The 12735-nt window shown below is 36.3% G+C and overlaps 1 long non-coding RNA gene across 1 annotated transcript in view; it reads right to left on the bottom strand.

The window, feature by feature from the left end:
* MYHAS (myosin heavy chain gene cluster antisense RNA) overlaps positions 1 to 12735 on the bottom strand; it is a 242409-nt gene that overhangs the window by 183167 nt on the left and 46507 nt on the right. The gene's annotated exons all lie outside the window — the stretch shown is intronic.

Raw genomic sequence — 12735 nt, 5'->3', positions numbered from 1 at the left:
CATTCAAACATCCCAGTTACTTTGTGGTTACAGATTTCATTTCCTTTTGGAAGAAGTTATTTTCCTCTGAACTTTCTCCTTCTACAAGAAAAACAGAACTTTTTAGATAAATCTTTCTGTTGACCTTCTAATTCTACATACAGTTCTGCTTACTTATGAGGAATACTTCACCTAGGCCATGATGAAGATGAAGTTCTGTTTACTGTAAGGTCAACAGAAAGATTTATCCAAAAATCTAACGGTATGTAGAATTAGAAGGTCAACAGAAAGATTTATCCAAAAAGTTCTGTCCATTTTTGCTCCAGAAAAGGAGCCTGACTTTTCTCAGTATCTTGCATATTTTAAGGAGGAACCATAAAGGAAATCTAATTCTTAATTTCAAAAACAGTATTTCCAAAATTTTATCATAGCCATTGCCATAGTGTTCTTTTCTTTGATATTTTCTTAGTTTAAAATTTTGCTTCTTCCAAAAATAAGAGAATACCAATTTATTCTTTATAGTGGTGCTGTCTTTTCAAACTTAGTCTTTTCTAATGGAGGAGCTGCTTTGGGAAATCTCCTTCCCCAATGTGGGAATCCTAACTAGTAGTGAGAAGTTTGCTTCGTAAGAGGAGAATTTTAAAGGGCTAGAAAATAATTATCAGGAATACTTCACCCAGGCCATGATGAAGACTAATGAAATATCCTCCCTAGAGCAAGCATTTATTATCGCTTTTTAATTAAGCTCTGTAGAGTTAATCTACTGACCTCAAAAGCACTGGGCAATTGCTTTATTATTCTGACTCCTAACTTAAATAATTGCTTATGTAGAGAGTCAAGAGTGTATTCTATTACATATGGGTCAATTATTACGGGTTTCCTGATTAAAGGAGCAAGCATATAGAGTCACAGTTATTCTGGTCAATATTCTTCCTCATCTTCCTCACAGACTAGCTGATTTATAGACGTATTTCCTTATCTACTAAAATAAAGCCACACATAATAATCTAGGACAGCTTATAGCACTCTTCAACTTTCCTTTAATTGATACGAGGTATTAGTGAGATTTGGTGACTGTTTCTAATCTAGTGCTGCTGGATCTGAGAACCTAAACAGGATGCATGCAAGGAGAAGGCAGAGGCTGTCTCCAAGAACACACAAGTCTGAATTAGGACAAATAGAGGTAGTTTAAGTTCAATTCCTACCTGATTGTAACACTAACACTTAGTGTGACAGAAAGAAAACGAGACTGGAAAAAGACTTTGAAATGTTAAAAAAAAGCAAGGGACTTCTTCTCTAACTTACAGATAAAACTATTTAAAGTGTACACACAGAGAACTAGGCAAAGATGACCACACCCTAGTGTTTTTGGTAAGTCAAGCATCATGACGCTAATAAAACCTAAAAATCTTGGCCGGGCGTGGTGGCTCACGCCTGTAATCCCAGCACTTTTGGAGGCCGAGGCGGGTGGATCACGAGGTCAGGAGATCCAGACCATCCTGGCGAACACGGTGAAACCCTGTCTCTACTAAAAATACAAAAAAATTAGCCGGGCGTGGTGGCAGGCGCCTGTAGTCCCAGCTACTCCCGGAGGCTAAGGCAGGAGAATGGCGTGAACCCGGGAGGTGGAGCTTGCTGTGAGCCGAGATCGCGCCACTGCACTCCAGCCTGGGCAACAGAGTAAGACATCGTCTCAAAAAAAAAAAAAAAAAAAAAAAAAAAAGAATCTGTAATAAGGCCAATCCCTTTTTTTCTCTATGTTCTGAGAACTTAAAAACCATGGTTACTAGAAGCAAATTCTGTGACTGATACTGGAAATATCATAAATCTTCTTTCCACTCCATTCATAAGTGTTCAAATAACCAAACAGGTGTTAAGAATAGGAGAAATCTCAGGATCCTTCTACTCCAGAGCATTACCTCTTCTATGTGTCTTATATCCAAATCTATTAGAATCTGAATTCTTGGGACCCTAAAGGATGGTCATTTTATTTACTCTCTTATTAATCTGAAGATGTAGTAATTTCAACTAACACCCTGACTAGAGTTATTGGCCAAACAACTAAGAAAGCATCTAAGGAAAGAGGTTCCTTGAGATGTGCCTGAAGAAAAGGTAACCCTGAAGCAGGAAAAGAGGGAAGATTTTTAAATGCCCCTACAAAGGCCATTTAATCACAATTTTGCTGAAGGCTCACCCTGGGCATTAAATTCTCCAGTGTCATTCTTTATGAGTGAAGGGGTTTGTGAACCTCCCTATTAATCAATGGTTCTTAAATTTAGCAAGCACCAGAATCATCTGGAGGGCTTGTTAAAACACAGACTGCTGGGCCCCATCTCCAGAATTTCTGACTCAGTAGGTATAGACTGGAGCCAAAGAATGTGTATGTATTTCTAACAATTCCCTACGTCATGCTGATGCAGGGACCACATTCTGAAAACCACAGCTTTATATTACCATTTTTTTTCACAAAGAAATCAGATGCTGTATTCTATAGCCCCACATTTACATCTATAAATTAGGCTGCAGCTCCTCTGGGCTTGTTTCTTTAGCCATGAAATTAGGAGGTTGAGCTAAAAATAATCTCTAAAATCTAATCTAAATGTTTTTGATTCCAAGTTAGATAGCACTGGCAGTAATAATGATGCAATCATAATATCTTATATCTATAGAACCCTTTGCTTCATTTGTAAAATGCTTTTTCATGTGCAATTTGTCAGTCACTGAATTCTCACAACCATGTGAGATAACAGAATCCTTTGGAAAATGAGGTACAAAGAAGATTGTGCTTTGTCAAAAGTTGTATGACTAATAGATGCGAAAGCCAGACCTAGGGCATGATCATCTAATTCTTCCTTCTGGAAACAATACACTGTTCTGAGTTCCACCATACCCTGACAAGCAAAAGGTTCTGATGACATTCTTCCCTTACAAATAAGGTCAGTAATCTGTCATTTCACCAAAGCAGAGGCTCTTCACCCAGATATCCATGTGGCTTGCTCCTTAATGTCTTTAGGATTCTGGTCAAATTACACCTTATTAGAGAGACCTTCCCTGGCCACCCAGTATAAAAAAACAACCATTTCTCCCTACCCTGCCAGTTATGCTTCTTATCTCCTTGATTTGTTTCATATCTGTCCATGGCACCACTTAACTAGTAATTTATTTGTTTAATATCTGTCTCCTTCTGCTAAAATATAAGTTCCATAAGGGCAGGGACTTTGTTATGCTCACTGTTGAATATCTGATGAACATTGCCTGACATGTAATGGTTGCTCAAGAAATATCTGTTGGGTGAATGAATAATAAGAACTTAACCTGTGCCATGCACAGTGCTAGGTATCTTACACATACGATCCATAAGTAAATCCTAAAGCAGTGTATATTTTAACACCTTTTCCTCAGTAATTGATGGAACTACAAAAAAAATCTACAAGGAATCTTCCACTTCTAGGAAGATAGAGTATTTGTACTTTTCCCTATTCCTCTCATTAAGTACAACAAAAAAACCCTGGGCATTATACATAAAACTTACATAAGAGATTCTGGAAGATGGAGAAAAGATGGAAAAGCCAGGGACCTGATATGGTTTGGCTGTGTCCCCACCCAAATCTCATATTGAATTGTAGTTCCCATAATCCCCACGTGCCATGGGAGAGAGGTAATTGAATCATGGGGGTGGTTACTCCCATGCTGCTGTTCTTGTGATAGTGAGTGGGTTCTCATGAGATCTGATGGTTTTCTGAGGGGTTTTCCTCCTTTTGCTTAGCACTTATCCCTGCTGTCACCATGTGAAGAAGGACATGTTTGCTTCCCCTTCTGCCACAATTGTAAGTTTCCTGAGGGAAAAATGGTTTCCTGGACTGGGTCCAGGGCCCTGCTGTGTGCAGCCTTGGAACTTAGTGCCCAGTGCGCCAGTCACTCCAGCCATGGCTAAAAGGAGCCAAAGTACAGCTAAGGATGTTGCTTCAGAGGGTGCAAGCCCTAATCCTGCAGAACTGTGAGTCAATTAAACCTCTTTCCTTTATAAATTACCCAGTCTCTGATATGTCTTTATTAGCAGCATGAGGATGAACTAATACAGGACCTTAGGACCCAAAGAATGACATAAATTCCCTGAGTTTTCTTTTTGACTTATATGCCCCAGACTTGGAACTGAAGAAGCAGACAATAGAGAAACCCAAGTGGATGAAGATTTTTAAAGCCCAACAAAGGCCTTTCTCTTTAGCCAGAGGACAAAGAAACAGGCAGCCTAGCAAGACAGAAAACTTAGACAATAGCTTTTTAGACAATAGCTTCTCTAGTGGAATCAAAGAAAAGAGAATAAGACTGTGACCCCTCCCCACCCCCAGCAAAAGATGAGTGGAAAGCCTATACTTCTGCCTTTAGGAGGCTATAATAAGATGCCCAACACCTGCACTAGAGGATGATGATGCCAACCAAGCAGGAAAATGGGATTTTCATCCCTGCTGGTCAGTAATGCCCTCCTACTCTATATCAGTAGTGACAACATTGGGATCTTTGACTCCCATGCACTGGGAGTAACAAGGCACCCCTTGTCCTTCCCACCATCAGAGGAGGCCTAGAGGAAAGTCAGCACTTTCACTGTTGCTCAGTAGTAATGAGCTTACCCCCATGCAACAGTAATGAAAAGATACTCCCCATTCAAGTGCTAACAGAAGGGAAACTGGACTTTCAACTCTATCTGGAAGCAGTAAGGTAGCATCACCAGCCCTGCTTCCTGTATTAGTCTGTTCTCACATTGCTGATAAAGGCATACCCAAGACTGGATAATTCATAAAGGAAAGAGGTTTAACTGACTCACAGTTCCACGTGGCTGGGGAGGCCTCACAATCATGGCAGAAGGCAAATGAGGAGCAAAGTCATGTCTTACATGGCAGCAGGCAAGACAGTTTGTGCAGAGCAACTCCCATTTATAAAAACCATCAGATCTCATGAGACTTATTCACTACCACAAGAACAGTATGGGGGAAACCAACCCCATGATTCAATTATCTCCACCTGGCCCTGACCTTGACATGTGGGGATTATTACAATTCAAAGTGAGATTTGAGTGGGGACACAGCAAACCATATCACTTCCCTTATTAGAGAAGTGTAATAGAAAGCCAATTAAAGGGTTTAAATAAGATCCAGATTCCAAGAACAGTACAAAAATGCCCAAGTTTCAACTGAAAATCACTCATTATGCCAAGAAAATCTCACACTGAATGAAAAGAAGATAAATGAGTTAAAAAAGCCAAAACCAAGATGATAGAGATGTTAAATTATCTGACAAAGATTTTAAAACAGACATAACAAAAGTGCTTCAAAGAGCAACTATGAACATGCTTGAAACAAATGGAAAAACAGAAAGCCTCAGCAAATAAAAAGAAGACGTTTAAAAAAGTGGAAATTTTAGAACAGAAAAATACAATAACTGAATTAAAAAGCTCAGTGGGTGGGCTCAACAGGAAAAAGAAGAGGACAGAGAAATCAGTGAGTTGGAATAAGAATAATCGAAATAATCCAACCTGAACAACTGAAAGCAGTAGATGAAAAAAATAGTAGACAGAACCTTAAAACAAATGATCTAACACTCATTAAAGTGCTAGAAGAAGAGGGTGGGGCTGAAAAGTACTTAAAGAAATAATGGCTGAAAACTTACAAATTTGCTAGGAAACATAAACCTACAGATTCAAGAAGGAGTTTATCTACACAAGATAAACTCAAAGAAATCGACACCCAGGCATATCATTAACTTCTAAATACTAAAAGTAAAGCAAAATCTTAGAAGCAGCCAGAGAAAAATGACATCTTGCCTATAGGAGAAAAACAGTTTAGATGACAGGGGATTTCTCATCAGAAATCATGAAGGACAGAAATAAATGGTACAATATTTTTCAGTAGCTGAAAAAAAAAGTCAACCCAGAATCTTATGTCCAGAAAAAATAAGCTCCAGGAATGAAAGGGAGATCAAGACATTCTTAGATTAAGACTATTTTAAGTCTTAAACCTAAGTCTTAGATCAAGACTATGAGAATTGTCACCAGCAGACCTACCCTAAAAGAATGGCTAAAGGAAAGTCTCTAAGCAGAAAGGAAAAAAGTGAATAAAGAAACCCTAGAACATCAAAGAGGAAAAAAATATATAAGCAAAAATAAAAGTAGGTATAAAAGGTTTTTTGTTCTTGAGTTTCCTAAATTATGTCTGATGATTGAAACAAAAATTATATCACCTTCTGGTGTGGTTCTAAAAGTATACAGAGGAAATATTTAAGACAATTACAAACTGGGAGGGTAAAAGGACTTCCAGGGAGGTAAAATTTCTATGTTTCACTTGAACTGATAACATGACAACAGAAGACAGTGATGAGACACACATAATGTAATACCTAAAGCAAACTACTAAAAATGACATACAAAGAAACACACACACACATACACACACGTGCTATAAGGAGGATTGACTTCCAGCATGACAGCATGAGGAGCTCCACCGATCCTCTTCCCAGTGAAATAGGTGAAAATTATCTTAAACAAAACAACATTTAAAGTCTCTGTAAATGGTTCTAAAGAAACAGAAAAGGAAAAAACATCTATCAAGAAAATCCATGCAAATTCAGTAAGAAAGGAAAGGTTCTGTGGTATTGAACCAAAATCACTTCCTGCCTCTTACCATCCCAGCACAGAGAGGTGGGACTCCACTCCAGATTGCTACAGCCAACCACAGGATTTCCTTTCCCTCGAGCTCCCAGTCAGAGGGCTTTCTTTCTAAAAAGCACAAGACATTAATATTTTTCATCTACCTCCAGCTACCCGTTTCTGAGGCTAAGACCCGAGCAAATGTGATTGAAAGGCTTAGGCTCTCTTTTCTGCCCAGCTACCACTCAGGGAACAGAAGCTCTACCCCGGGTGCTGAGAATATTGGGGCCCTGATCACCCTTGACCTGACTTATGAGGTGGAGGTTCCACACCAGGAGAGACAAGCCAAGCGGGCCTTAGGCTGCTGCTCATCCCCACCAAGTGCTCAGTTCCCAGAATGGAGGTGTCAATCAGAAGATTAAAATTGTCTCCACCACCAGCTCCAAAGCCCTGGCTCGGATTTTGCCTGAGGGGAGAAGTGAGTCATAAAACAGAGCTCCTAATCTTTGCCCAAAGGAACTGATTTCATTTGCAACAGAAGGCAGAGAAATTAAAACCCAAGTGCACTTTCAACAACAGGGCACATTGTGGTAAAAACAAATTGCCATGCAATTAAAGATATAGGCTAAACTGTATGCCAGCTAGTTTTTAGGAGAGAACCAGGTAATAAGATAGCTGGGAGAAGTCCCCCTGGGATCAAAACAAATATTAAACACTGACCTCAGAAATTATGTTTTCAAAGGAGGCAGAATTTGATTGGATTAGTTCATAGAACAATTTATGCCCAAAGGAATTATTAAAATCAATAAAGCTATCGGCCACCAAGTAGTGGAGTTTGACATCTGGGTGTGGTCAGAGAAAGAGAGGAAGAGAGCCCTCTCAAAACCACTGTCATCACAGGGTGGCTGTGGGCATACCAAAGCTGCACCTCCCTGAGGAGCAATATCAGAAGCTTTAAACTGTGGGTGGGAAACAAACTTCACTAAAATAAACCAGCCAGTTAAAAACAAATATTCTTGTGCTGACAAGAATAAGTTCCAGTGTTTGATAACAAAGGAGGCTGACTCTAATTAACAACAGTATACTGTATATTTCAAAATAGCTAGAATAAAAAAATGGAAATGTTCCTAATGCAAAGAAATGATAAATATTTGAGGTGATGGATATCCCAAATACCTTGACTGGATCATCACACAGTGTATTCGTGTATCAAAATATCACATGTACTCCATAAATATGTAAAAATATTATGCACTAATTTTAAAAATAAAATTTTTAAAAATAATAAAGGTAATAAAGAAATTGTTTAATAACAAATAAGTAAGAAAATAAAACTGACGATCCCTGGAGAGGGCAACACTACCCAAGGTTGCTATAATACATTATCTAAAATGTCCAGTTTCCAACAAAAAATTATGATACCTGCAAAGAAATAAGAGAGCATAATCCATACGCTGAAAAAAGCAGGCAACAGAAACTGCTTGTGACAGCAATCAATGTTGAATTTAACAGAAAAAGATATCAAACTAGTTATCATAAACATTTTCACAAAAATAAAGAGAATATGATGAAAGATGTAAAGGAAGGCATAATGACAATGTCAGATCAAATAATGTCTATCAATAAAAACGTAGAAATTACTTTAAAAAAAACAGAATTGTCGAGTTGAAAGTATAATAAATGAAATTTTAAAATTCACTAGAGGAGCTCAACAGGAAATTTGAACTGGCAGAAGAAAGAATAAGTGAATTTGAAGAGAGATTGATAAAGCTTATGAAAGCCAAAGAACAGTGAGGGAAAAAAGAATAATAAAAAATGAAAGAGCCTCAAAGAAATGTAGGACACAATGAAGTACACCGATATATACACAGTGAGAATACCAGAAGGAGAGGACAAAGAGAAAGGAGCAGAAAAAATATTCAAATGTATAACGGATGAAAACTCCCTGAATTTATTGAAAAACAATTATCTATACATCCAGATAACTCGATGAACACCAACTAGGATACATGCAAATAGATCTATAGATACATCATAGTAAAAATGCTGAAAATTAAAGACAGGGAGAAAATCTTGAAAGCAGTGAGAGAAAAATGACTCATTACTTGTAAGAGAACAGTATGATTAACAGCTGACTTCTCAGCCAAAATAATAGAGGCCAGGAGAAATAACATATTCAAAGTGGTCAAAGACACACACACACACACACACACACACACACACACACACACACACACATCAACCAAAAAATCTTATATCCAGCAAATCTATCTTTCAAAAGTGAAGGTGAAATAAACAGTTTCCCAGATAAAAACTGAGAGTATTTGCTGATAGCAAACCTGCTTGATAAGAAATACTAAAGGAAATTCTTCAAGCTGATGGCAAGTAACTCCAGACAGGAATTCATATCCACACAAAAAAAGGAGTACCAGAAAATGTAAGTATGTAATTACAAGACAGTATAAATGCATATTTTTTTCTCCTTTCTTCTCTTAACTGACTTAAAAAGCAATTGTATAAAATAATACATATACATTGTATGGTTGGGCCTGTAACATAAAGAAATGTAATATATGTGTAACATACTTGCCAATACAGCATAAAGGAGTTGTGTGGGAACAAAGCTGTATTGGGCTAAGGAAATGACTATAAATAGTAAAATAATAACTTTAACAATGTACTGCTGGGTTTGTAACATTAAAAGCTACAGGTAACAGTAATATGACAAAAATGGGGAAAAATGGAGTAGAGCTATGTAGAAGTAACTTTTCTATATGTCGCTAGAATAAAACTAGTATGAATCTGAAACTGGTTCTGATAAGTTAAGGTTTACAGTATATGGTAAACTCTAGGGTATCTATTAAAAAAATACAGTGAAAGGAGTGGGCATGGTGGCTCATGCCTGTAATCCCAGCATGTTAGAAGGCCAATGCGGGAGGGTTGCTGGAAGCCAGGAGTTCAAGACCAGCATAGGAAATAAAGTGAGAACCCATCTCTATAGAAAAATTTCAAAATAAAATAAAAATATAGTGAAAGAATTACTAAAAAGTTAAAATGCTACATTAGAAAATTTTCAATGCAAAAGGAAGCAGTAAGAAAGAAAAGTGGAACAAAAAAGGCATGGGACATACAAGAAATAATTACAACTATACCAATAACAGCACTAAATGTGAATCAATGTGAATGTGAATTAAGCAGTCCAATCAAAAGCCAGAGATTGTCATAATGTATAAAAATATATGGTCAAACTATGTGCTGTCTACAGAAGCCACAAATATAAGTAAAAAGATGAAAAAATACATTATCTTGCAAACAGGAACCATAATAAAATGGAATGGCTATACTGATAGGAGACAAAACAGACTTAAAAAAAAGTTACCAGAGATAAGGAGAAACATTTTATAATGAAAAAATAATAAAAGGATAAGCCCATCAGGAAGACATAATACTTATACATATATTTGCGCCTAATAGCAGAGGCACCAAAACATATGAATCAAAAACTGACAGAAATAAAGGGAGAAACTGACAATTCCACAATAATGATTGAAGATGTCAATAACCCACTTTCAATAATGGATGTAACAATTAATGAAGATCAATAAGAAAAAAAGGAAGACTTGAAAAACACTATAAACCAAATAGACCTAACAGATATCTATAGAACACACCACCCAGTAACAACAGAATATACATCCTTCTCAAGTTCAAATGTAACATTCTCCAGGACAGACCACATGCTAGGCTATAAAACAAACTTCAGTAAACTTAGAAGGATAGGCATGATACAAAGTATGTTCTCTGACCACAATGGAATGAAATTAGAAATCAATACTAGGAAAAAAATTGAGACAATCACAGATTTGTGGAAATTAAACAACACACTCCTAAATAATCATGTGTCAAAGAAAAAATCGAAAGGGAAACCAGAAAGTACTCTGAGATGAATGAACATGAAGATACAATATACAATATACAAAAACATATGGGATGCAGCTAAAGCAGTGCTTAGACAGAACTTTACAGTTGTAAATGTCTATATAAAGAGAGAAGAAAGAGCTCAAATAATAACCTAATTTTCCACCTAAGGCACAGCAGGTGGGAAAAACAAATGAAATCTAAAGCAAGTAGAAGAAAGGACATAATAGAGGCTAGAGGAGAAATTAATGAAATCGAGAATAGAAAAACAATATAGAAAATTATAGTCCAATATCCCTAATAGATGCAAAAATCCTTAACAAAATTTTGGCAAGTCAAATCCAACAACGTCTAACAATACAATCGTGTGTTGCTTACCAATGGGGATATGTTCTGAAATATGCATCATTAGACAATTTCCTCATTGTACAAATATCACAGAGTGTACTTACACAAACCTAGACAGTATAGCCTACTACACACCTGGGCTATGTGGTATAGCCTACTGCTCCTAGACTACAAACCTGGACAGTATGTTGCCGTACAGAATACTGTAGGTAACTGTAGCAGAATGGTATTTGTGTATCTAAACATATCTAAATATAGAAAAGGTACAGGAAAAATACAGTATTATAATCTTATGGGACCACCATAATACATGCAGTCCGCTGTCAACCAAAATGTCATTATGCAGTGCCTACTATATATGAAAACAATATTAACAACAACAATAATAATAATAAATCATGACCAAATGGAATTTATCACAGGAATGCAAGGTAGGTTTAATATTCAAAAATCAGGTAATTCATAACATTCACAGAATAAAAAAGAAAATCATATAACTATCTCAACAGATGAAGTAAAGCATTTGACAATATCCAACACCCATCCATGAAAAAAAAACCTCTCAGCAAACAAGCAATAAAAGAAAACTTTCTCAATCTAGTAAGAGGCACCTACAAATAAAGCACAGCTAAGATATCTTGCTTAATAATAAAACAGTGAACACTTTCTGTCAAAAAATGGGACTAAAAGAGAGAGGAGAGAGAGAGACACCATGTTCTTGGACTGAAGTCTCAATATTGTAAATCTGTCAGTTTTCCACAAATTGATCTATAGTTTTAGTGTAACCCTAATCAAAATCCTATCAAGCTTTTTTTTTTGGTAGAAGTTGGCAGTTTGATATTAAAATGCATATAAGTATATAAAGTACCTACAGTAGCCAAAGAAGTCTTAAAAAGTAAGTAGTATAAAATTGGAGAACTTACTCTACAGACTTTAAAATTTATTACAAAGCTACAGTAATTAAGATAGTGTGGTATTAGTGTAAGGGTAGAAGAATACTTGAATGGAACAGAATAGAGTAGAATGGAGAGTCTGGAAATAGATCCAATATGTATATAGTGGACTTTTTACTAAGTTGCTAATGCAATTCAATGTGGAAAGAAAAGTCTCTGCAACAAATGATGATGGATCAATTAGACATCTGTATGGAAAAAAATAATAACGCATACACAACAATTAATTCAAGGTAGACAACAGATTTAAATGTAAATACTAAAATTATACATCTCCTAGAAGAAAATATAGGAGAGTATCTTTGTAATCTCGTGCAAAATTTCTTAAACAGAACACAGCAAGCACTAAATATGAAAGAAAAAATGATAAAACTGGTCCTCTTCAAAGTTAAAGCTACTGCTCATCAAAGTACTGTTAAGAACACAAAAAGGCAAGCCACCTACTAAAAAAAATATATGCAATACATATACTGAAAAAATGACTTATAAAGAACACAAACAAAACAATATTCTTTAAAAATAATCCAACAAAAATGGGCAAAACACAGACATTTCATCAAGAGAATATATGAAAGCTTAATAACAAAACTAAAAGTTGCTCAATATCATTGTCTAGGGACATACATTTTAAAACCACAAAGAGATTCCACTACAAACCAACAAGAATGGCTAAATTTATAAAGACTAATGACACTGAGCAACCACATTGCTCATATATCACTAGCGAGGATGTAAAACAGTACAGTTACTAGACACCTACCTCTTGATCCAACAATTCCACTCCTTGTTATTTAACTGAAAGAAATGAAAGATATGTCTATAAAAAGATAAAAAATATATACCAGCAAGAGAACAGATGAATAAAATATGGTACATCCTCACAACGGAGTACTACTC

This window comes from Homo sapiens, chromosome 17, assembly GCF_000001405.40.
Source record: "Homo sapiens chromosome 17, GRCh38.p14 Primary Assembly".
Classification (NCBI taxonomy): domain Eukaryota; kingdom Metazoa; phylum Chordata; class Mammalia; order Primates; family Hominidae; genus Homo; species Homo sapiens.
This window is presented reverse-complemented; position numbering and strand designations above follow the sequence as displayed.